Here is a 25,060-nt window from a genome sequence, read left to right on the forward strand (position 1 = left end):
GCGAGGCAGGGCTGCATAGGCGTCCCGAGGGGGCGCACACCGGCCCTAGGGAGGGGCGGGCCCGAGACCCCGGCGAGGAGCACCGGGTGCGGGCGCGGCCTCCCCTCCCGGGTCTCCCCCTACAGTCCCCCCACTCCCGCCCACGGGTCCCCTCGCTCCCCGCCGTCGGGTCAGCCCTGTCCCGGCCTTCTGGAATTGCTGAACCCTGCGGGGGGCCCGGCTGAGTTTGTTCATTTATGGAAACGCTCCCCAGACGACGCTCGCCGGGCCCGTGGGAGGCCGCGGGAGCTTGGGGGGACTTCCCAAAGCCTGAGCCCCCTAGCGATGCGCGGGGTGGGCGGGGGAAAGACCCTGAGGGCTGCGCGCGCTGCGTTCGCGAGGTCCGGCCGTCAGTGCGCCCCGACCTTTCAGTGTCCGCCAGGCCTGAGACGCCCCGGGAGGGAAGGGGCGATCCTCCGGGCACCAACAGCCCCCTCCGGCCTTCTCCTTCCCTCTGTTGCCCCAGCGGAGACTGGATGTGTGAAGGTTGAGCCTCATCAAAACCTCCAAATAGTCACTACTTTTGGGAAAGAAAAACTTTGAAAATGAAGGAGAAAGGCAAAGCAACCCCCACCTCGCCCTCCCCCCGCCACAGGAAAGAAGCAAAAGGAAATACCTAGGTGGTGGTCATAAGTCTAGCTTTTGGTCTCGGATTTTTTTTTTTTTTCCCTTAACCGCTTTTCTTTTTAAGTGAACTAACCACAACCCAGACTAGAAAACACTCCAAAGCTGCCGAATTCAAACCCAGCGAGCCTTCCTGTTGGTTGGTTCTGTGTTTTACTTAAATGTGATTACTTCCTTCCCTTGCCCACCTCCTGCAACTTTAAATTCCAGCCTTTCCAAGACAGGGCAATTCAAAAGTCCTGGGTTTAACTCACCTATCTTGACTTGACATTAACTTTTATCCTGATTGATTGGATTCCAGAATAATTGTGAAAATGGAATTTCGGCTAAACTTTCCCAACCACAGACTTGAAATTCTACTATTTTATCACTTCAGGAGTAGACATTAAAAAACATATGCCTAAGAAAATGGAATAAAAATGGGACTCAGATTCACATCCATTTATTTTTATTATTAAGAGAGAACAAGAGGCCGGGCGCGGTGGCTCACGCCCGTAATCCCAGCACTTTGGGAAGCCGAGGCAGGTGGATCACGAGGTCAAGAGACCGAGACCATCCTGGCTAACACGGTGAAACACCGTCTCTACTAAAAATACAAAAAATTAGCCGGGCGTGGTGGCGGGCGCCTGTAGTCCCAGCTACTCAGGAGACTGAGGCAGGAGAATGGCGTGAACCCGGGAGGTGGAGGTTGCAGTGAGCCGAGATCGCGCCACTGCACTCCAGCCTGGGCGACAGAGTGAGGCTCGTCTCAAAAAAAAAAAAAAAAAAAAGAACAAGAAAGTATTTATAATCTAGCTGGACGTGGTGGCTCATGCCTGTAATCCCAACACTTTCAGAGGTTGAGGCGAGCAGATCACTTTAGGTGAGGAGTTTGAGACCAGCCTGGCCAACATGGTGAAACTGTCTCTACTAAAAATACAAAAATTAGCTGGGCATGCTCACTTGAACCCAGGAGGTGGAGGTTGCAGTGAGCCGAGATCACGCCACTGCACTCCAGCCTGGGCAACAGAGCTGGACTCTGTCTCAAAAAAAAAAAAAGAAAGAAAGAAAAGAAAAGAGAGAGAGAAGAGAGGTGAGACAGAGAGGGAAAAGAAAAAGAAGAGAAAAAAAATGAGGCTGTAATCCCAGCACTTTAGGAGGCTGATGCGAGCGGATCACTTCAGGTCAGGAGTTCGAGACCAGCCTGGCCAATAGGATGAAACCCTGTCTCTACTACAAATACAAAAATTAGCCGGGCATGGTGAAGGGCACCTGTAGTCCTAGCTGCTCGGGAGCCTGAGGCAGGAGTCACTTGAACCCGTTAGGCGGAGGTTGCAGTGAGCCGAGATCGCACCACTGTACTCCAGCCTGGGCAACCAAAGAGACTCCGTCTCAAAAAAAAAAAAAAACAAAACAAACAACAACAACAACAAACAATAAAGAAAAAGCAAAAAGAAAAGAAAAAAAATTTTTTAAAGGGAAGTATTTATGATCCCCCCTGCCTTTTTTTTGAGACGGAGTCTCGCTCTGTTGCACAGGCTGTAGTGCAGTGGCCGGATCTCTGCTCACTGCAACCTCCGCCTCCCGGGTTCAAGTGATTCTTCTGCTTCAGGCTCCTGAGCAGCTGGGATTACAGGCACGCACCACCACATCCGGCTAATTTTTGTATTTTTAGTAGAGACAGGGTTTCACCATGTTCGCCAGGCTGGTTTTGAACTCCTGACCTCAGGTAATCCACCTGCCTTGGCCTCCCTAAGTGCTGGGATTACAGGCGTAAGCTACCGTGCCTGGCCTCTCCCCCCCTTTTTTTTGATGTGCCATCTTAACCATCCAGGTGTAGGATGTGGGGCCAAACACAGATGTCATTTGGGTGCGCTAAGTCTACAGATGTGTCTCGTTTGGAAGCTATTGATATAAGTTTTTAAGAAAACAAATCTCATCTTGAAACTCTTTAAACCCCAAAGAACAACAACACTTAGAGGCAAACGAGATTTTTCTTGAGTTCACTCAGTTTAATGATTTAAAGGAAAACATGTTTTGCTTCTGCCTAAATAGAAGCTAGTCATGTGACTCATGTTTAAATACATCCACAGCTCCCTGTGTTCACCTCCCAGGGCAACCAATTTTTCTGGCCACTCTTGATTCCAACACTGTTTCCCAAAACTTGTCATTAGCTCCGCTTCAGCGGGAGGAATGCCAGAGCCAGCATTCTTTCCACTTTGAGAGAACATTTTAAAATCTGCTACATTTGTAGACCTGGCTTCCATCAAATATGCTGAAAACTCAGATTGATTTTATTAGAAGCTTCCCATAATAAGCAAACAACCTAAAAGCTTTCCGCATGACTAATGTCCCTAAGATCGTCTCTAGAATTTTTGTCCGAAAGAGTTAGCAACGTCTCAGGAATATTGGAGAACTGAAATGGGGTGTAATCCTTCTTAAGAAAATATCTGGCAGTCACACCTGCAGCTGAAGGATTCTTTTATGCGGTGATAGTGCTCGTGGGTGCTGGTGATGGTGGGTGGAAGGTGAAGCCCAGTTTGGGAACTCTCTGCTTAACTCTGGGAAAATAGAACTTCCTTTCCTTAAACAAATTAAACCCTGGAAGAGGACTACAGTTGGTGATACTTTTCGGAAGGACTCGGGCGCCCGAACGATGTTTTCCTTGGTTTCAGGAGTAGCCAGGCATCTACTGCAGATGAAGCCAGTTCCTCCCACCACGACTCATGGACCAGTCATTACAATAGCCTGCCAAACCAACCCACCTTTCAAAACCCCACTCCAGGGCCCCTGCTTCAGGACTCGCAGATCTACTCTCCCTGCTCAGATATCCTGCAGTTTCCCACCAATCATGGCACTCCCAAGCCGTTACGTAAGAAAGATGTGTTGTGCAGGTGCTGGTTCTTATGAATATGCAGACAGATAATATTTGCATTTGGGTGATAAATGAGACGGCATTTGAAACATAAGCAAGCCATGTTTCTATTTTTAATGCTTAATCGGTAACTTGAGAGAGCCACAGTGCTATTAACGAATGCTGATATGTTTGGACAGCAGCAGCCCACATAATTGCTATTGTCTTTTACCAAAGTGTCCAAGCTTTTGTATTTGGTTTCATGGTTTCGGCATCAAGAGGGGAAAACAAAATATAAGGGTGAATCACCATTATTCATTAAGGACAATTAATGAGTTACAGAACTTTTTTCAATATTTACTCAGAAATAAGATACATGAGGTCCTTAGGGTTGGCAGGTCCAGGTCATGGCTGATTTGGTGCGTTCTATAACACTGTAAAAAATTCTGACAGTAAAATGACAATGACTTGTACCCCATCTAAACAAAAGGTTTAGCACTGGAATTTACGATGCATACTTTCCATGACTAGAGCAGTTCTCGTTTAGAGGCATCTCATGGCTTCTGGCTCAAAACAGCAGACCGGGTGCAGAGTTGCCTTCTCTTGGTACTTGCGACTTTGCTGGAATTAAGATAAAAGAAAAAGGGATAGAGGAGGAGTTGTAAGAAGGAGGGAAATCACAAAGGAGAGGTTTCAACGCATTTCTGAAAGATGGAAAACTGACAGTAGAGAGCTGCCAGATGACACAGGCTGAGCAATTGCAGTCTATGCCATGATGACAGACGCTGGAGAGGAAACGGGGTCAATGGACTGACAGATGAGACTCCGGGACACAGTCAGCGGGTATAAAAGGAGATGGGAGTGAGAAGTGGGCATCGGACCTAAGGAGCGATTAAGATCTTTACATGGGACAAGGGCATCATCCCCCACTGACTCCTGCTTATATTTAAGAAAAAAAAATGACCAGGTAGCTGATGTGGTTTCACTCCGCTGCCATGTGTATAAGACTCTTTTCCCATTGGATTTTTACTCCGGCTAGGAATTTAGACCGGGGGGCGGGGGGTGGTGGGTTTGTGGGGTGGGGTGGGGTGGACAGGCTTCGATTAGCTGAGCAGGCAGGAAGCTGGCCGCCTTGAACTGGAGCTACTTGAGGTTCAGGTGCCCATCCCTGGCCCACTGAGTAAGACGATGTTTGTGTGGGACTGTCCTGTCTCCAGGGGCAATGCACACAGCAGCTGAGAAAGATCCAGTACAGTGTCCACAGCCGCTGGCCTCAGTGAACGTAAGCTTCCTTCTCCTTGCAAATCTGCTACACAAAGTGATCTGTGAGCTGACTCCCCTGTCCATGAACCCACAGTTTTGAGTGTGAGATTTGGAGGCCACTCAAAACATACTTGGACCCTAGGCTTTGGTGGGGTCATTTATCATCCTGAGGACAAGGTTTGAGGGGAGAGGGAGGGCAGTGCTGGGAAAGGGAATTGAGTCTGTGTAAATTTGACCATTAACGTGTAATATTTATTACAGAGGTTAACCTTTAAATACTGTTGGCTAAAAAGAGTGTGCAACAAACATAAAATGTCCAACTTTAAGCTCAAACCCCCCACTGTGAATATCAACTTCTCTAATGTGGAAGCTGCCTGGTGGGGGTGGTCACCTCTGCACACGAACATCCCATGGTCCCAGACACCTGGGAAGATGCTTAAGTTCCTTCTTCTCATTAGAGAGCTGAGAACCAACCAGTCAATTAATCAGCTCAAAGGAATAGAGTGCTGTAGTCAAGGCCCAGGTTAAATATTAAAAGCGTCTCTTAGCTCTTTAATTTGTAGCTGTTTAACTTGGTAAGTGGAGTTGAAGTCCCAGCCTGCTCATGGCGATTACTGATTAATGCCTGTGCACATTTGTACAAGACCCCCTGGCTGCACGATCCCTGTCCTCTGGAGTGCAACTTTCCTTCACCGCGCAGTCAACCTCCACCCAACGGGGACAGCTGACACTTCGAGAGGCCCTGCCCTGACCATTTACCGACTGTGGCTCGTTAAATGAGCCTCACGGTAACCTTGTAAGATAGATATTTTCTGCCTCTATTTTACAGATGGCAAAACTGAGGCTCCGAAGAGTGGGGAGCTGGCCTAAGGTCTTGAAGCCAGAGACAGCCAGAGCTGGGACTCAAGCCACTCTCTCTGCAAACCCCATGGTTCTTTCATGATGCTATCTGTACCTAAATAAATGACAAACCTAGCAGAATAGACCAGCGAGCTCTGAATATATGCAACTATTACCGTTACCCTGGGCCACCATGTAGGTGGGGTGACTGATATGGTTTGGATTTGTGTCCCTGCCCAAATCTCATGTTGAAGTGTATTCCCGGCAATGTTGGAGGAGAGACCTGGTGGGAGGTGATTGGATCATGGGGGTGGACATCCCCCTTGGTGTTCTCGTGATAGTGAGTGAGTTCTCGTGAGATCTGGTTGTTTAAAGTGTGTCCCCCTGCCTACTTCTTCCTGCTTTAGCCATGTAGGATGTGCTGGCTTCTGCTTCGCCTTCTGCCATGGTTGTTTCCTGAGGCCTCTGCAGCCATGCTTCCTGTACAGCCTGCAGGACCGTGAGCCAATTAAACCTCCTTTCTTTATAAATTACCCAGTCTTGGGTAGTTCTTTTTTTTTTTTTTTTTGAGATGGAGTCTCGCTCTGTCAACCAGGCTGGAGTGCAGTGGTGCCATCTCAGCTCACTGCAAGCTCCGCCCCCCAGGTTCACGCCATTCTCCTGCCTCAGCCTCCCGAGTAGCTGGGACTACAGGCACCCACCACCATGCCTGGCTAATTTTTTTGTATTTTTAGTAGAGATGGGGTTTCACCATGTTAGCCAGGATGGTCTCGATCTCTTGACCTCATGATCTGCCTTCCTTGGCCTCCCAAAGTCAGGTAGTTCTTTATAGCAATGTGAGAACAGACTAATACAGTGACCACCTATTTCTGTTACCCCAGAACTGAGAATATTCCCAGGTCATGGTGGTCAACCAGATTAGTTGGTCACCCTACACGTAGGGTTGTACAGGTTGTTCACTAAACAAGAGTGCCTGACCAAGAAGCAAATAGAGGCCTCAAGCCAGCCATGTTCCATTCACCAAGCTGTCCTCATGGAGCAGGGCTGTATCCCCCTAGAGGAAGGTACAATATGGGCTAGCTAAGGCCCTACTAGTCCCTCTGACACTATGAACCCGGAAGTTTGAGCAGCTCAGTGATTTGGGTAGTGATCTCATTGTAAACCAACCTCTCTCTTGCCAGGGAATTTCTCCCTCTCCCCTAAACACACACACACATTCCTAATCACGTTCTTATAAACTGTTCAAGTCGTGGGAAATGAGGCTGGAGAAATAGGAGAGATCCAAAATGCCATGTCTGATAGCCCTCAACACTGTTCTCCAAACATCTCCTCCTGGATACACAGCAGGAAGGCACTCCCCGCCCCGTGTGATCAGGTGTCACTTCTGGCCTGGAGCATTCAATCCTGGTGAAAGATGCCATCCAAATTCTCCTTCTCTTGGCTGCAGCAACTGGTACCGCTCGCTATGGTGGCAGCTCCATCAACCGGGGTCCTGGAAGGGGAGTCGTGGAGCAGGTCCCCTGGCTGGCTGGTGATGGACATGTAGCCTGGCTGACAGCCAAACCTTTGCTGTCAGAAGCCATTTCTGCTGGGGGCCGTTTCTTGCTGTGGCACAGCCCAGCTGTCCTCACTGAGACTCCAAAGTAAGAAAACGTGCACTTGATTCTATGAGCTGCACAGCTCCCCTGGAGAGTAATGGAGTCAGCTTTGCAGTTTTCTTCTTCTTTTAAAGAAACAGAGGCTCACTCGGTTGCGCAGGCTGGAGTGCAGTGGTACGATCACAGCTCATTGCAGCATTGAACTCCTGGGCTCAAGTGATCCTCCTGCCTTAGCCTCCTGAATAGCTGGGACTACGGGTGCGTGGCACCACACCCAGCTATTTTTTCTCTTTTTTTGTAGGGTTAGGGGTCTCACTATGTTGCCCAGGATGATCTTGAACTCCTAGCCCCAAGTGATCCTATTGCCTTGGCCTCCCAGAGTGCTGGGATTACAGTCCTAAGACCCTGTTTCCTGTACTGGTCTAGGTTTGCACTTGTCAAAGATCAACCTTCTGTATCTCTTCGGGGGTTTTAAACATGAGTAAGTTTGATAGTGGACTTAGTCTTAAATACATTCTTAGAAACTAAGATTTTAATCATTGTGATTATACTTTTTTTTGGTAAAAGTTACTTTAATGGTAGTCACATAAAATCTCTCTGGGTAATAAGCAAATTCTCATTCCTACATATTTTTAAAATTTGACATTTCTAGTTGGTTGTCTTGGGCTTTCTCTGTCACGGAGCCGGCCCACGCTTCTGTGTAGCTTTGCGGCCTTCCCAACTGTAAAGCAAATCCCCACATCTCAGCCCATTCCCTTCATGGCCCCTCAGAACTCAAAAGTCAGTGGGCGCTGGGTAAAACAGGGTGTTAGTGAAAGCCAGATAGGCCATTGAAGGCGCCAGGGACAAAGAGAGGGGATGTCTACCCAGGTGGGAGGTAAGTCATCCTTTCTACCATCCAGACACACACATCTGACATCTTTTTTTTTTTTTTTTTTGAGATGGAGTTTCCCTCTTGTTGTCCAGGCTGGAGTGCAATGGCGTGATCTTGGCTCACTGCAACCTCCGCCCCCTGGGTTCAAGCGATTCTCCTGCCTCAGCCTCCCGAGTAGCTGGGACTGCAGGCGTGCACCACCATGCCTGACTAATTTTGTATTTGTAGTAGAGACGGGGTTTTGCCATGTTGGCCAGGTTGATCTCGAACTCCTGACCTCAGGTGATCTGCCCGCCTCGGCCTCCCAAAGTGCTGGGATTACAGGCATGAGCTAGTGCTCCCAGCCTCATCTGACATCTTTCCAGTCCTGAGAGGTGTGTTTTTTTCACTCATAACTTGGTCATGGCTGGGAGCTGTGGCTCACACCTATAATCCCAGCACTTTGGGAGGCTGAGGCAAGCAGATCACTTGAGGCCAGGAGTTTGAGACCAGCCTGGCCTACATGACGAAACCTCATCTCTACTAAAATACAAAAGTTAGCTGGGCGTGGTGGCTCACGCCCATAATCCCAGCTACTCTGGAGGGTGAGGCATGAGAATCGCTTGAACCCAGGAGGCAGAGATTGCAGTGAGCCAAGATTGCACCACTGCACTCCAGCCTGGGCAACACAGTGAGACTCTATCTCAAAACAAACAAACAAAAAATAATAATAATTTGGTCCCTGTGCCATATGGACCTTACAACTTTGGTGGACATCTCTTCCTTTTATATAAGCATGCTGTGTGTTACAGACCAAAGGTTTGTGTTCCTCCAAAATTCACAGGTTGAAATCCTAACCCCCAGTGTGTTGGCATTAGGAGGTGGGGTCCTTGGGAAGTAATTAGGTCATGAGGTGGAGCCCAAGTGACTGGGATTAGTGTCCATATAAGAAGAGACCCGAGAGCTTGCCCCTTTCTTCTCTCTGCATCATGCGAGCACACAGCAAGAAGGCTGTCTGCAAACCAGGAAGACAGCCCTCGCAGGACACTGGATCTATTGGCGCCTTGATCTTGGAGTTCCCAGCCTCCGGAACTGTGAGAAAGAAACATTTATTCTTTCAGCCATCCAGTCTGTGGTATTCTGTTAGAGCATCCTGAGCTAGGATGGTGTGTTTAAGAGAATGGGAATACTTAGACCTGAAAATGGAGTGTTGCATTCAGGGGTCAGCAATCTGTAGCCACCAAGCCAAATTTAACTTCCAACTGTTGCTGTAAATAAAGTTTTATTGCAACACAGCTACCCGCCCGTTTGTTTGCATGTTTCTCTGGCTGATTTTGCATCACTATGGCTGAGAAATAGTCACCATCTGGCCCTTACAGAAAAAGTTTGCCAATCCCTGGTTTAGTTAATAGTTCTCTGCGTTTCACCCATTAATCCCAGGTGATATGGTTTATTCACGAAAGAAAAGGCAGTTAATATTAACCACCTAAGATCTTTAGTTACTTATTTCTGCCTTCATAGCTAACTCACTGTTCTCACCTGGGGCCTCAGGGAAGATTGTTGAGTTATGAAACCCAAAGTAAAAAGGGGAAATAAATTAGTCTCCCTCATGTTTAAATTCCTCCTTTTGGAAGAACAAAAAACTAGATCTGAAAATCATTTTTCCTTTTCTGCTTCTTCTAAATTTCTTTATTCCTACCAGATAAATGTGTTTTTGTTTTCCAGCTGTGACTCCAGACAGGATCCAGAGAGGGGTTCACAGTCTTCTCTGGGTTTTATGGAGACTTACTTTGCCCTTCTGTGTTAGCCTCTTAAGGCGCTGTGTTAACCTTAGGCACAGGAAGGCAGGAGAATCGCTTGAACCTGGGAGGCGGAGGTTGCAGTGATCCGAGATCACGCCATTGCACTCCAGCCTGGGTGACAAAGACTCCATCTCAAAAAAAAAAAAAAAAAAAAAGGCACAGGAAAGGGGGCAGATAAAATGTTAAAAGCATTTCCACTCCCTTGTTCTTTTTCTTCTTCAGACTCTAATAAAAGGATAAAATCTTTTAGATTTCCAGTTTTGCAGCATCGGCACTAGAAATCAATTAAAATCTATTTTTAGTCCACTCAAGAATACTTATCCAAAAAAAAAGAATAGCTATCCAAATGTTTTGACTACTTAAACTGAAAGCAAACTTACACCAAAATGAAATTATCAGAAAAGAAGCTCAATCTGTTTGCACAAGTGTACACCTCACATGTTCCATTTGATTCAACTCTACAAATGTTTGTAGAGCACCTACCGTGTGATACATTTAGGGATATAGACATGAATAATCCATAATCCCTACCCTCAAGATGCTCAGGGGCCAGTGGAATAGTTAAAGTAACTGGAGAAACATGTAATAACAGGTGCAAACTACAAAGGAAGGGCCATGCACAGTGGCTCACGCCTGGAATCCCAGCACTTTGGGAGGCCAAGGCAGGCGGACTGCTTGAGCCCAGGAGTTCAAGGCCAGCTTAAGCAACTTAGTAAGACTTTATCTTTACAAAAAAAAAAAAAAAAATTAGCCAGGCATGGTGGTACACACCTGTAGTCCCAGCTACTCAGGAGGCTGAGGTGGGAGGATCCCTTGAGCCCAGAGGGTGGAGGCTGCAGTGAACTGTGATCACACCACTGCACTCCAGTCTGTGCAACAGCGTGAGACCCTGTCTCAAAAAAAGAAGGAAGTAGGAGTTTCTCCAAGCAGAAGAAAAATGAGAAGGGAAGGTACTGAGGTAGTGAGAGGTGACAGCGTGCTGGCAGCCCGCGCTCGCTCTCGGAGCCCATTCTGGCCACGCTTGAGGAGCTCTTCAGCCCGCTGCTGCACTGTGGGAAGCCCTTCCTGGGACGGGCGAGGCCGGAACCTGCTCCCTCAGCCTGTGGGGAGGTGTGGAGGGAGAGGCACGGGCGGGAACCGGGGCTGCGCATGGTGCTTGCGGGCCAGCTAGAGTTCCGGGTCAGCTAGAGTTCCGGATGGGTGTGGGCTTCGCGGGCCCGCATACGGAGCGGCCGGCCGGTCCATCGGCACCAGGCAGTAAGGGGCTTAGCACCCGGGCCAGCAGCTGCGGAGGGTGCATCGGGTCCCCCAGCAGTGCCGGCCCACCGGTGCTGCGCTTGATTTCTCGCTGGGCCTTAGCGGCCGCGCCGCGGGGCAGGGCTGGGGACCTGCAGCCCGACATGCCTGAGTCTCCCCCACCCGCCATGGGCTCCTGCGCGAACTGAGCCTCCTGGACGAGTGTCGCCCCCTGCTCCACGGTGCCCGGTCCCATCGACCGCCCAAGGGCTGAGAAGTGCGGGCGCACCAGACGGAACTGGCAGGCAGCTCCACCTGCAGCCCTGGTGCGACATCCACTGGGTGAAGCCAGCTGGGCGCCTGAGTCTAGTGGGGACTTGGAGAACCTTTAAGTCTAGCTAGAGGATTGTAAATACACCAATCAGCACTCTGTATCTAGCTCAAGGTTTGTAAACACACCAATCAGCACCCTGTGTCTAGCTCAGGGTTTGTGGATGCACCAATCAGCACTCTGTATCTAGCTCAAGGTTTGTAAATGCACCAATCAGCATTCTGTGTCTAGCTCAAGGTTTGTAAATGCCGCAATCAGTGCTCCGTGTCTAGCTAATCTGGTGGGGACTTGGAGAATCTTTATGTCTAGCTAAGGGATTGTGAATGCACCAGTGGGCACTCTGTATCTAGCTCAAGGTTTGTAAATGCACCAATCAGCACTCTGTGTCTAGCTCAGGGTTTGTAAATACACCAATCAACACTCGGTATCTGGCTAATCTAGTGGGGACGTGGAGAACTTTTGACTCTAGCTCAGGGATTGTAAATGCACCAATCAGCACCCTGTCAAAATGGACCAATCAGCTCTCTGTAAAATGGACCAATCGGCTCTCTGTAAAATGGACCAATCAGCAGGATGTGGGTGGGGCCAGATAAGAGAATAAAAGCAGGCTGCCCCAGCTAGCAGTGGCAATCTGCTAGTATAGTGATTTGAGACTGTAAAGGGTTTGTTCTTTTGCTCTTTGCAATTAAATCTTGTGAGTGTTCACTGTTTGGATCCCCAGTGCTTTTATGAGCTGTAACACTCACCACGAAGGTCTGCAGGTTCACTCCTGAAACTGGCGAGACCATGAACCCCTACTGGGAGTGAACGTACAATTCTAGACGTGCTGCCTTAAGAGCTGTAACAGCGCAAAGGCTTGCAGCTTCACTCCTGAGCCAGCAAGACCATGAAGCCACTAGAAGAAACTCTGGACATGCTGCCTTTAAGAACTGTTAACACTCACCGCAAGGGTCCGTGGCTTCATTTTTGAAGTCAGTGAGACCAAGAACTCGCCAATTCTGGACACAGTAGGACTACTAAAGAAATCAAAAGGGAAGGTGCTGAGGTAGGATTACTAAGGGCACAGAACCTTCAAGGAGGTCAGTGTGCCAGGCAAAGACAGAACAGCAAGAGATGGTGCTAATTCCCATGTGGACTAAGTTCACTGCTAGAGTGAGGAAAAGAGCAATCTGATTTTTTTCTTTTTTTTTGGAAACGGAGTTTTGCTCTTGTTGCCCATGCTGGAGTGCAGTGGTGCAATCTTGGCTCACTACAACCTCTGCCTCCCAGATTCAAGCAATTCTCCTGCCTCAGCCTCCCAAGTAGCTGGGATTACAGGTGCTTGCCACCACGCCTGGCTAATTTTGTATTTTTAGTAGAGACGGAGGTTTTGCCACGTTGGTCAGCTTGGTCTCGAACTTCTGACCTCAGGTGACCCACCTGCCTTGGCCTCCCAAAGTAGTGGGACTACAGGTGTGAGCCACCGCACGTGGTGGTTTTTTTTTTTTTTTTTTTTTTGGAGACAGAGTCTTGCTGTGTCGTCCAGGCTGGAGTGCAATGGCAACCTCCACCTCCCGGGTTCAAGCCATTCTCCCTATTCAGCCTCAGAGTAGCTGGGATTACAGGCACCCGCCATTATGCCTGGATAATTTTGTATTTTTGTAGAGACGAGGTTTCACCATGTTGGCCAGGCTGGTCTTCAACTCCTGACCTCAGGTGATCCATGCGCCTTGGCCTCACAAAGTGCTGGGATTACAGGTGTGAGGCCGAGCAATCTGATTTCCAAAAAGCATCCTGCGTTTCGAAGAAAGTGAAATCCAAAAGTGAAGAGAGGCTCCTCCTGCCCCCACGATGGCGTTAGGCATATGGCCTGTGCAGCACCACTCGGGTTCTGGATGAGCACACAGCAAACACGGAGTTTTGGAGTCTGCAGTGGAAGGAACCCTGGATAATACTCACTCTGGGAACAGAGCCCTGAATAAGGTAGTGACTCCTCCAAAGCCACTCAGCACGTGCTCCAGAGCAGTGCTTTGTTGAGGGCTGTGGTGTGCTGGGCACCCTGTGAGGCTCTGAAGTTCCCTCAGCAGCATAATGGGGTAGATTCTGTGAACGTCCACTTGATGGACAGGGCATGGAGTCTTGGGGAGCCTAAGATACTTGCCCACAGTCACACGGCTAATCCATGGGGGAGCCTCGGGGTCTCCCTCCAGGGACCATGCCCTTCTGACACCTTCCTTAACCTGAGGCCAGGATCCTGGCTCCCGGCCGTGACCTCCATCACCAGCAAGCCACTGATACTAATAGACCAGCAGACAGTTGCACAAATGGCTTCAGTGGCATCTGTAAAGCATGTGTACCTGTCCTTGAGGGAACTCTCTCCCAGACTGGAGCCGGGTCGGCATCTTCCACTCCTGAAAGGATCAGGGTCCATCTTCCAGTTCGTATAACCTGGCACCCACGTGCCCGCCTCTAGTGGCCAAATGCGTGAGGGGATTATTTGGATTTGTGTGGCATCTGAACCATCATTAATTACATTAGGCTCTCCACTGCATCTCTTAAGTCCAAATGAGATCTGAACACCAGCTGCCCTTAGAGCAAGCTCGGGTTGCCATGGTAACCGAGCCATCCTGCTCCTCTGGACTCCAGCAGTCCAAGTAACACCACTCGGGTCTTGGCTACAAAGCTCAGCTTTCAGCAGGCCCGTCTCTCACCTCTAGCTGCCTGTTTCAGAACACTGGGTGGGGAGCGGAGAGCTTAAGTAAGGTACTTTCCTTGATCTGATCTTCCTCTGATTAGCCTATCAGCTAGTTCACATGCATTGACTGCGCACCAGCTGCATGTGAGGCCCGGTGCTGAGCGTGGGTATGGGGGTGCCTTTAGCATATGGAGATGGAATCTAAAGTCTAGGGAACATGTCGTTTGTAATTCTGCAAACACTTGTGGCCCGGCTAGTCTCAGGCATTGTGCTAAGCACTGTGGGGAGATGAGCTTGACATAGACCGACCCTGCCCTCAAAAAGCGTGTACCGACTGGGGAGATAAAAGGGTGAACAAATAACTGCAGTCCAGCGGGATAAATTGGATAGAGCTCGCACACAAAGTCATGGGGCAAGTACCTCTGCCTGGGGGCATCAGGGCAGACTTCCCAGCAGAGGCAGGTTTTGAACTGCTTCTTAAAAGATAGAGGTTGCTGGGCACGCTGGCTCACGCCTGTAAATCCAGCACTTTGGGAGGACAAGGTGGGTGGATCACTTGAGGTCAGGAGTTTTGAGACCAGCCTGGCCAACATGGCCCATCTCTACTAAAAATACAAAAATTAGCTGGGTGTGGTGGCACACGCCTATAATCCCAGCTACTCAGGAAGCTGAGACAGGAGAATGGCTTGAATCTGGAAAGTGGAGGTTGAAGTGAGCTGAGATCGTGCCACCGCACTCCAGCCTGGGCAACAGAGTGAGACTCTGTCTCAAAAGAAAAAAAGATAATTAGGCGTTCACCAGGCAGAGACAATGGAAAAGGGCTGTGCAGTCATGCAGCCAAGAGAGAAGAGCATCGGCAGCCCAGCGAGCCAGTCGGGATGGGAAAGCGTGCGGGATGGGAGGGGAGGTGGGTGGGTCCAGATTAGAAGAAGCTTGACCGCTGCTGAGCAGGTTGGTTTTCATTCTGAGGACTGTGGGGAGTTTATAGAGTGAGTTTCAGCTGCCCAGCACAGGAAATGGAATGGAGAGGACAAAACAAAAGGCCCAGAGCCCAGCTGGACGGCTGGGACAGTGGTCCCGATGAGCTGGGGCGAGGTGGGGTCTCTCCTTCCAAATGGCAGCATTCTTCCATCTCAGTAGCAAACTGTGGAGCTGATACTTTGATCCTGAATGGGTTTGCGGGGGCCAAACCCTTTCCTTCACCATTTGTGCTGTCAGGGGGAACAGGCATCTCAAGAGGGTTGTTTCCTGCCTTGCTAATTTTTTGTATTTTTAGTAGAGACGGGGTCTCCCCATGTTGGCCAGGCTGGTCTTGAACTCCTGACCTCAGGTGATCTGCCCGCCTTGGCCTCCCAAAGTGCTGAGATTACAGGTGTGTGCCACCGGGCCCGGCCAATCCAGATCCCTTTATTTTGCTTTATTTTCTTTCCATAACCCTTTGCCTTCTAAGGTACAATTCAATGTACTTATTGATTATGTTTATCAATTGTTATACTTATTGGTTGCATTTACAGTGTCTGAACCTCAATAACTATTTGTTACCTTGCTGAATAGTGTGAGAGGAGGATGTATGACAGCCTCTCTCTTCTCCGGGACAAGCCTGGGCAAATAGTCCTCAGAACTGCTCCTCATAGGTTTTTGTTCTTCTAGGGCAGGGATATTTCTAGCCACATGCACATTGTCTGTCTGGAGCAGGAGTGGGGTCTGTTCCCAAGTGCCAACTCTAGGGAGCAGTGGCGCTTGGGAAATGGAGGCACTCTGGATTCAGGGGAAGTCTTCTATCTGTGTGCTGTGGATAAACTACTTCATCTCACCGCGCCTTCAAGTGCAATGAATAATAAATGCCCACCTGGCTGTGTTGTTGTGAGAAGTGAATACAATTAAAAGTGATTATGCATGTTGAGGAATCAGTACAGCATGTAGAAGATAACGAGGCTCAAACAGTGAGCTATAAACGGTTTTGCAAAAGACAGCTACTTAAAATTCGAAATACATTTTCCCAGAAAGTCAGTGGAAAGAACCTGTTCCCTGGAGTTCATGAGAAAAGTTTGGTAACTGAGTGGAGAATGTATCACCAGCTGAAGGCTGGTGTCAACTCAGTGACCGGTTTTGAGGCCCTAGCCCCGGCCACCCTGTTCTGGTGATGGGTGGGGCTGCTTTAATCATAGCCTTATTTTACCTTTGGCTCTGGACATATGAATAGGGTTGGAAATCAGAGCTCAAAGGACAGAGCCGGCGCAGCCTAAACGCCATCCTTCCAGGTGGGCAAGCAGAAGCCTGGGGAGAGGGAAGCAGCTCCCCTGGATCACAGGACAGAGGACCAGTGGGAGGACTGCGCAGGGTAGCAGGTGAAGGCCTCCCAGCGCAGCGGCTCCCAGAGGAGTGTGGAGCTGCCCCAGGCGCTAGCAGCCAGTGAGCAGAGAGGGGCTCCACAGGGGTCGGCCTGTCCTCCAAATCCATCCTTTTTTTTTTTGAGACAGACTCTCGCTTTGTCACCCACCTAGAGCATAGTGGTGCGATCTCGGCTCACTGCAAACTCTGCCTCCTGGGTTCAAGTGATTCTCCCTCCTCAGCCTCCTGAGTAGCTAGGATTACAGGCACATGCGACCACACCCAGCTAATTTTTCTATTTTTAGTAGAGACAGGGTTTCACTATGTTGGCCAGGTTGGTCTCCAACTCCTGACCTCAAGTGATCTGCCTCTCTCAGCTTCCCAAAGTGCTGGGATTACAGGTGTGAGCCACCACACCCAGCCCCATTTGATGCTCAGCTGACTGTGTCAATACCTGTGTGCAATGTGGAATAAAAATGTCTCTTCTGCAATAAGATGTCTCTTCTGCAATAAAAATGTCCCAGTGTCTTCTATATAATGAACAACTGCATCCTGCCCTCGCCTCCAAACCAGCCCCCACCCGGCGGCCCCTGTTCCTTCAGGTCGTGTTTCAGGTCAGTTTCTCCCAGTTCCTCCCAGCAGGAGAGCCAGAGCTTTTCACTGCTTCTGCCTGGGGGAAAAGGCCCTGAGCCACTGCGAGGCTGGGGCTCCCCCAGCGGCCGCCAGCGGTACACATTTCCAGGCTAACTCCAGAGCTTTGGCTGGGTGGGGCTCCTGGAACTTCCACACGGGAGGACTGAGGGCAGCCTAGTCATCTGCCCCTCAGTGGAGGGGGTGAGAGTGGCTAAGGGGCTTGACAGATGCCAAGGGGGAAAGCGCACTATTGGATTAGGGTCCTCCATGTATTTGAGGAGGGAAGCACTTGGGAAACTGATGACCCTACCCCCTACCCTGCACCATCACTGGCTCTTAACAAAATTTATTATTTATGTGGTCCTGCCATGTGCAGGGCCCAGTGCTGGAGGAAATACGGAGATTAATAAGATCTTTATGTCTGGCCCCAAACACAGCATGTCGTTCCATTCCACTTGTGGAGCACCTGTTATGTGCGAGGATTGCGCTCTGCAATTGTTTAAAGGTAATCATCCTTAACAACTCCAAGGGCAAGATACTCCTTTGCAAATGTTGGCGCAGTGCGTGCTCAGGAAAAGGAAAAATGGACTCATTGAGGTTCTGAGTGGGAGATGGGGCTTTTGGTAGAATAAAGGACACACACACACACCTGTACACCTGCTGCTTTGGTTCAAATGCATTTCTTCTCTCTTAATAACATCTATGGTACTGGGAAAATGGCATGAGTGGTTTCCCTCTTCTCCCCGAAAAGCCTGCAAGAGTGAGGCGGGGCGGGGGAGGTCTTGGTGGAGGAGGCTGGGGAGGGAAAGTAGTGTTCCTTGGCCTTCTTTTCCACCCTCAGCTACAGAGGAAGATCCAGAGGGTGAAGTCCAGGTGGTGGGCCTGGGAACCCAGAAGAAGGGCCAAGGGACAGGCTACCTGCTCCAATTGTATCCTAAGTCCAGTGAAGTTACATAAGTTTCTTTCCTGCAAGAATTCTCAGGACCTTCACTCTGCGAATGAGAGCTCCAGGAGGGAGATGAGGTGAGTAGTTAACACTTCCCAGAGCTCTTTGTCAAGGAGCATCTCAGGGATGAGTGTTCAGAGGGGGAGGAAGAGAGTCCCACGGCCTTCTGGGGACCCTGAACCTGCAATCATCATGGCAGCATTTCTTGGTGCATCAGAAACTCAGCCTTGACCAAATGCAAGGCACTCCAAAGAGTGATTCTCCAAAAGGTTTCTGAGACTAAATCTATTTGTGGGTCTTTTTTTTTTTTTTTTTTTTTGAGATGGAGTCTCACTCTGTTGCCCAGGCTAGAGTGCAGTGGCATGATCTCGGCTCACTGCAAACTCCGCCTCCCAGGTTCAAGGAATTCTCCTGCCTCAGCCTCCCGAGTAGCTGGGACTACAGGCGTCTGCCACCACGCCTGGCTAATTTTTTATTTTTAGTAGAGACAGGGTTTCACCATCTTGGCCAGGCTGATCTCGAACTCCTGACCTTGTGATCCACCCTCCTCGGCCTCCCAAAGTGCTGGGATTACAGGTGTGAGCCACCACGCCTGGCCTCATGGGTCTCCGCTTCCTGTGTTCAAGCGATTCTCCTGCCTCAGCCTCCCGAGTAACTGGGATTACAGGTGCGTGCCACCACATCTGGCTAATTTTTGTATTTTTAGTAGAGACGAGTTTCACCATGTTGGCCAGGATGGTCTCGATCTCTTGACCTTGTGATCTGCCCGGCTCGGCCTCCCAAAGTGGTTTTTTTAAATATATTTTTTATTTTTTTGAGACAGGGTGACATTTGTCACCCAGGCTGGAGTGCAGTCAGTGCTCACTGCAGCCTGGACCTCCTAGGCTTAAGCCCAGCTGGGCTTGAGTGATCCTCCCGCTTCAGTCTCCTGAGTCCTGAGTAGCTGGGATTACAGGCATGTACCACCATGCCTGGCTAATTTTTAATTTTAATTTTAATTTTTAGAGATAGGTCTTGTTTTGTTGCCCAGGCTAGTTTCAAACTACTGGCCTCAAGTGATTCTCCCACCTTCACCTTTCCAAAGTGCTAGGATTACAGGTGTGAGCCACCGTGCCCGGCTCAACTGATGTTAGTTCAGAATCTGTACCAGGCCTACTCTGAGAAAAGACTTTTTCTAATTCAGTCTTCTAAGATTATTGTAACCCTGGGAAGATACCTAGATAGGCATAGTTATTAGTAAAGAAAGGAATGAGAACCATGGAGTTATCCGTCAGGGTCCTGGCAGAAAACAGCTGGCACCCTCAAATGGGTTCATTTGAGAAGAGCTTAATAAAGGAACTCTCTGGGGAGCATATATTCAGGGCAACTCCAATCTATGTCTCCGAGGTTAAAAAATAAAAACAAAACAAAACAAAATAAAATAAAATAATAAAGGAACTCTCTGCAGGTGAAGGAAACCCTAAGGGTGGTGCCATACCCTGGGGCTAGGAACAGTGGGGTGGACAGCGAGCAGTTACCAGACCCAGAGAAGCAGGACTGTATGAGGACAGGAGTTGAGACCTCTGATCAAGGGATGCAGACAGCCTATGGTGACCCTCACAGAGTGAGCCAGAGAGAATCACCCACCTCAACTGCTCCCTCTCAGTCTCCTAGGGACACTCCCTCCCATCGCCTGAACCTGCTGGAATGAGGCCATGGGGAGGCTCTTTGCTGCCTCCACCCAGGCCAGGGCATTCCCCTCCCTCCCTGAACAGAGTGGAGTGGGACATGGGGATGCATCTGCAGGGGCTCCCGAAAATGCTCTTTGTGACTTTGTGAGCATTTTATTTATTTGCAATAGCAAAGTATTCAAGTGAATCGGTTATAATAATTTGTAAATATGACTTAAGTCACTTATGAGAATTGATATAAATTTGCAATAATTTAAAAAATATTTAAGACCCCCTCAACCCCCCCCCACATATATTTTTGAGATTGGGGTCTCACTATGTTGCCCAGGCTGGCCTCAAACTTCTGGCTTTAAGTTATGCTCCTGCCTCAGCCCCCCGAGTCACTGTGACTACAGGTGTGAGCCACTGTACACCCAGCATAACATAATGATTTTTAAGGTTTTGTTTTACATATAGTTGGTCTTGACTTAGGATGGCTCAACTACAATTGCTCAACATTACAATGCTGTGAAAGAGATACACATTCAGTAGAACCTGTACTTCAAATTTTGATCTTTTCCTGGTCTAGCAATATCGGTAAGGGACTGTTTGGCCATGATGGGCAGTCATAGCTCCCGTCAGCCTGGCGATCACGAGCAGTAAACAGCCAGCACTGCACAGTGCACTGTGTTGCCAGCAATCTCTGGATACTGTATTTTGTGATTATACATCCCATAATGTCTACACAATGCCCATCTGCGTATGGAATCCAACCCTTTGTTATAAAATAGGCTCCTGCTGGACGACTTTGCCCAACTGTAGGTAATGTAAGTGCTCCAAGCACCTAAGGCAGGTGAGGCTGGGCTGTGATGTTCAGTAGGGTGGGTGTATTAGATGCATGTTCCAATTATATGTTCAATTATGATGGCTTTATCAGGATGTAACCCATCATAAGTTGGGGACTGTCTCTCTATTCAAGTGTTGGTATTTATTTATAGAATACTGTCTAAACATCAAGTTCAATTATGATGGCTTTATCAGGATGTAACCCATCATAAGTTGGGGACTGTCTCTCTATTCAAGTGTTGGTATTTATTTATAGAATATTGTCTAAACATCAGGGAGATGTCTTTTGTCAGGCCCTAAATTAATCACTAGACTCTTTTTATGAGGAAGCAAGTAAAAGGTTCAGATTTTAAAGAACTAAGTAACAGCTGAAATAGTATTATTTTTCTACTCAAGCTAACATTAATATTTAGATATTTCCTGCACTGCTTTTGAGCTCTTTGCTTGATACATTCTTCTCCTTGAATTGTTTTCTAGGTCAAAGCAGAACTGGACACACACACATGTGCACGCCGTCTTAGGAGGGGCAGGAAACAGGAGAAACGGGGGGCTGCCAAAGGTCAGATGATCAGCTGCTTAGGAATCAGGAGGCCATGGGGTGAGCACAGCCACACGGTGTAGTGCTGGGGATGCAGGTGGAGGCAGAAGGGGATGGCCAACTTCTGGCTCTGTTTCGTGTTTAGGAGCAGTTACAGTGGAAGAGTCACTGTGAGCTTTGGGGGCACAGGAGCCAATAAACACTCCTTTGCCTGTCTGTTCTCATGAAGAGTCTCTTTCTGTCTCAGTTCTGCTTTCCTCTTTGTCGATTCCATTTTCTACCCTGTGCTCCTAAGAGCCCCCGCCTCAGTTCTCCAAGCTTCACATACAGCAGAAAGACGGTTTCTCTCTCCCTGCACAGGCAGCCGATGGCCTGAATCCAGCTTCCGTAGTAAAGCTTGTGTGGGTTGCCTGTTCCTAGTGGGTCAGGAGAATAGAAAATGTCCCTCCCCAGACCTTTGGGGTCAAGGAGGAGGGGGAGGGAGGGAGTTGGCTCCCTTAAATCTTGCAGACTGGGAATGGGGGAGGGTGGTCCCCAGTAAATGTGGAGAGTTGCTAACTACAGATGGGGGAAAGCGTAGGCAGGCAAGAACAAGAGCTGTCCATGACTAAGACAAAATCTTAGTCTAAACTCCACTGGTGCCTATTTCTGGTTGATTAGAACAGGGATGATTTTATTCTGTCTATTTTTTCTTACTCTCTACAATGAAGGTGCACTAGTTTTTTTGTTTTATGGTTCTGTCATCCAGGCTGGAGTGCAGTGGCACAATCATGGCTCACTGTAGCCTCAATCTCCCAGGCTCAAGCAATCCTCTCGCCTCAGCCTCCTGAGTAGCTGAGACTACAGGTGTGCACCACCACACAGATAATTTTTTCTTTTTTGTAGAGACAGGGTCTCACTATGTTGCCCAGCTGGTCTCGAACTCCTGGGCTCAAGTAATCCTCCCACCTGACCTCCCAAAGTGCTGAGATTACAAGTGTGAGGCACTGCAGCCAGCCTGCATTAGTTTTATCATGGGAAACATACAATAAATTTTAATTCAAAAATTGAGGAAGTCAGCTGGGCGTGATGGCTCATGTCTGTAATCCCAGCACTTTGGGAGGCCAAGGCGGGCGGATCACCTGAGGTCAAGAGTTCAAGACCAGCCTGACCAACGTGGAGAAACCCCATCTCTACTAAAAATACAAAATTAACTGGGCGTGGTGGTGCATGCCTATAATCCCAGCTACTCGGGAGGCTGAGGCAGGAGAATCACGTGAACCCAGGAGGCAGAAGTTGCGGTGAGCTGAGATTGTACCATTGCACTCCAGCTGGGGCAACGAGTGGAAAGCTCCATCTCAAAAAAAAAAAAAAAAATTGAATAAGTCTAAGCTTTGCTGTGGTACTAAATAATTGTTTTATATACATTTCTTTTGTCTTCCCAGATGACTGCAATCTCCTTGGAAACAAGAACTCTACCTCCCTCTGTTTCTGTGTTCCTCCGGTGAGTGTCCACTGTGTACCAGGTGTCATTCTAGATGCTGGGATGCAGCAGTGAGCAGAAGAGGTAAAAATGTCCATCCGACATTCTAGAGGGGATGAGGAAATGTGAGCAAGTGAAGAAGTCAGTATTATGGAGAAGGCAATTGGTGCAATGGAGAAAGATCAGGAGGGGCCAGAGAGTGGGGAGTGCAGGCTAAGTGTTTAGGGTTTTACTCGAGCCTAGTGATGACGGAGGCCTCGCAGTGAAGGTGACTTTGGGGAAAGCCTTGAAGGAGCTGCAAGGCCAGAGGAGCCCCTGAGGCAGCTGTTGTATCCTCAGTTTCCCAGGAACAGGAGGAGGTCATTGCGGCTGGAGGGGTGGGTGTGGGGAGGGCACAGGGAGAGGAGCTGGGAGAGGATCACGTGGCACCCTGGGGCCTTTGAGGATTGGGACTTCTGCCAAGTGGGATGAGACAGGGAAGCCAGAGCACCTCAGGACAGCTGAAGCCCAGCCTCTGTGTCTCCGGGCCCTGCTCTTCCCACGCCAACCTGTCCCTCCACTTCCTGGAACATTGTCTTGCCACTTTGGTTTTGTCAACCCATCCTAAGTGTGATCCTTCAGGCTTCTAAACATGCATACCCACTAGGGCCAATGTCTGACTTCACTGATCTCTCCAGGACTGCCATCCCCATGGGGCCACATTGAGATAAGCCTCTCGGGCCTGCCTCTCAGGCTCCACCAGGGAAGAATGGTAACACCTCCTGGTGTCATCTTGGGGCTTTTGAGTGGTGGGTAAAGAGGGAGCCCTGGGCTGGGCGTGGTGGCTCACGCCTGTAATCCCAGCACTTTGGGAGGCTGAGATGGACGGATCACCTGAGGTCAGAAGTTCGAGATCAGCCTGGCCAATATGGCAAAATGCTGTCTCTACTAAAAATACAAAAATTAGCTGGGCATGGTGGTGAGCATCTGTAATCCCAGCTACCACGGAGGCTGAGGCTGGAGAATCACTTGAACGTGGGAGGCGGAGGTTGCAGTGAGCTGAGATCGCACCATTGCACTCCAGCCTGGGCGACAAGAGCGAAACTCCATCTCAAAAAAAAAAAAAAAAAAAAGAGGGGGCCCTGGAAAACCCCAGCAGAGCTCAGTCATTGCACCAGCTAGCATTCCCTGAGGATTCGATGTGCAGGCACTGTGCTGTTGCCCGCCGCAAGTTCACTCATGCAAGCCTCACAACACACTACTGAAGTATCAATAGCTCATTTTATAGATGGGGGGTAAAGCTCAGTGAGGCCAGGGAGCTTCCAGTTACACATTCTGAGTGCACAGAGGGGGAGTCAGCTGAGGTCTGTCTGACTCCAGAGGCACTAAAATTAAGGCCCCTCTGTCACCATGTCCCACCTCAACAAATCTCTAATCTTTTGTCCAACTTTTTCAACCTTTTTCACTAGGCAGGGCTAAGTGATATGCAGCAGAGAACAGGATCATTTTTGTTCCAAACTCTACATTGTCACCCTGTTAAAATACCTCTAAAAAAGTTAATGTTGGACATGTAAATTAAAAAAATGGTTATTAAAACAAAACAAAGCAGAAAATAAGCATAGGTGAGGATGTGGAGGAATTGGAGCCCTTGTGCACTGCTGGTAGGAATGTAAAATGGTGCAGCTGCTGAAGTTGGAAGTGGAAGTTCCTGAAAAAATTAAACATAGAGTTATGTTTATGTACTAGTCTGTTCTTATATTGCTATAAAGAACTACCTGAGTCTGGGTAATTTATAAAGAAAAGAGGTTTAATTGGCTCACAGTTCCACGGGCTGTACAGGAAGCATGGCTAGGGAGGCCTCAGGAGACTTACAATCATGGCAGAAAGTGGAGGAGAAGCTGGCACATCCTGCCTGGCTGGAGCAGGCAGAAGAGGGAGAAGGGGGAGGTGCCACACTCTTTTAAACAACCAGATCTCATGAGAACTCACTCACTATCATGAGAACAGCAAGAGGGAAATCCACCCCCATGACCCAATAACCTCCCACCAGGCCCCTCCTCCAACACTGGGGATTACAATTTGACATGAGATTTGGGTGGGGACACAAATCCAAACCACATCATTCCACCCTTGGCCCTTTCCAAATCTCATATCATTCTCACATTGCAAAACACAATCCTCTCTTCTCAACAGTCTCCCAAATCTTAACTTATTCAGCATTAACTCAAAAGTCCATAGTCCAAAGTCTCATCTGAGACAAAGTAAGTCCCTTCCTCCTATGAGCTTGTAAAATCAAAAGCAAGTTAGTTACTTCCAAGATACAATGGGGGTACAGGCATTGGGTAAATACACCCATTTCAAGAGGGAAAAATCAGCCAAAACAAAGGGGCTACAGGCTCCATGCAAGTCCAAACCCCAGCAGGGCAGTCATTACATCTTAAAGCTCCAAAATAATCTCCTTTGACTCTATATTTCACATCTAGGCCACACTGATGCAATGGGTGGGCTCCCAAGGCCTTGGGCATCTGCACCCCCGTGGCTCTGCAGGATACATCCCCCTTGGCTTCTTTCACAGGCTGGCAT

The 25,060-nt window shown here is 48.9% G+C and overlaps 1 pseudogene, besides 4 other annotated features; it reads right to left on the reverse strand.

Moving 5' to 3' along the window:
- Positions 55-294: a silencer, noted in NCBI's record as "silent region_11157". NCBI's record gives its function as "represses an Ori minimal core promoter by ATAC-STARR-seq in GM12878 lymphoblastoid cells {active_cell/tissue: GM12878}" and the evidence as "EXISTENCE:reporter gene assay evidence [ECO:0000049][PMID:35858748]".
- Positions 2,539-2,598: an enhancer, noted in NCBI's record as "active region_15296". NCBI's record gives its function as "activates an Ori minimal core promoter by ATAC-STARR-seq in GM12878 lymphoblastoid cells {active_cell/tissue: GM12878}" and the evidence as "EXISTENCE:reporter gene assay evidence [ECO:0000049][PMID:35858748]".
- On the reverse strand, positions 9,774-9,888 carry LOC124900536 (uncharacterized; annotated as a pseudogene).
- Positions 10,742-11,259: an enhancer, noted in NCBI's record as "H3K27ac-H3K4me1 hESC enhancer chr2:10231300-10231817 (GRCh37/hg19 assembly coordinates)". NCBI's record gives its function as "activates a minimal SCP1, AML or CMV promoter by ChIP-STARR-seq in primed H9 embryonic stem cells {active_cell/tissue: H9 hESC(primed)}" and the evidence as "EXISTENCE:reporter gene assay evidence [ECO:0000049][PMID:30033119]".
- Positions 21,068-21,117: an enhancer, noted in NCBI's record as "active region_15297". NCBI's record gives its function as "activates an Ori minimal core promoter by ATAC-STARR-seq in GM12878 lymphoblastoid cells {active_cell/tissue: GM12878}" and the evidence as "EXISTENCE:reporter gene assay evidence [ECO:0000049][PMID:35858748]".

This window comes from Homo sapiens, chromosome 2, assembly GCF_000001405.40.
Source record: "Homo sapiens chromosome 2, GRCh38.p14 Primary Assembly".
NCBI classification, from domain to species: Eukaryota; Metazoa; Chordata; class Mammalia; order Primates; family Hominidae; genus Homo; species Homo sapiens.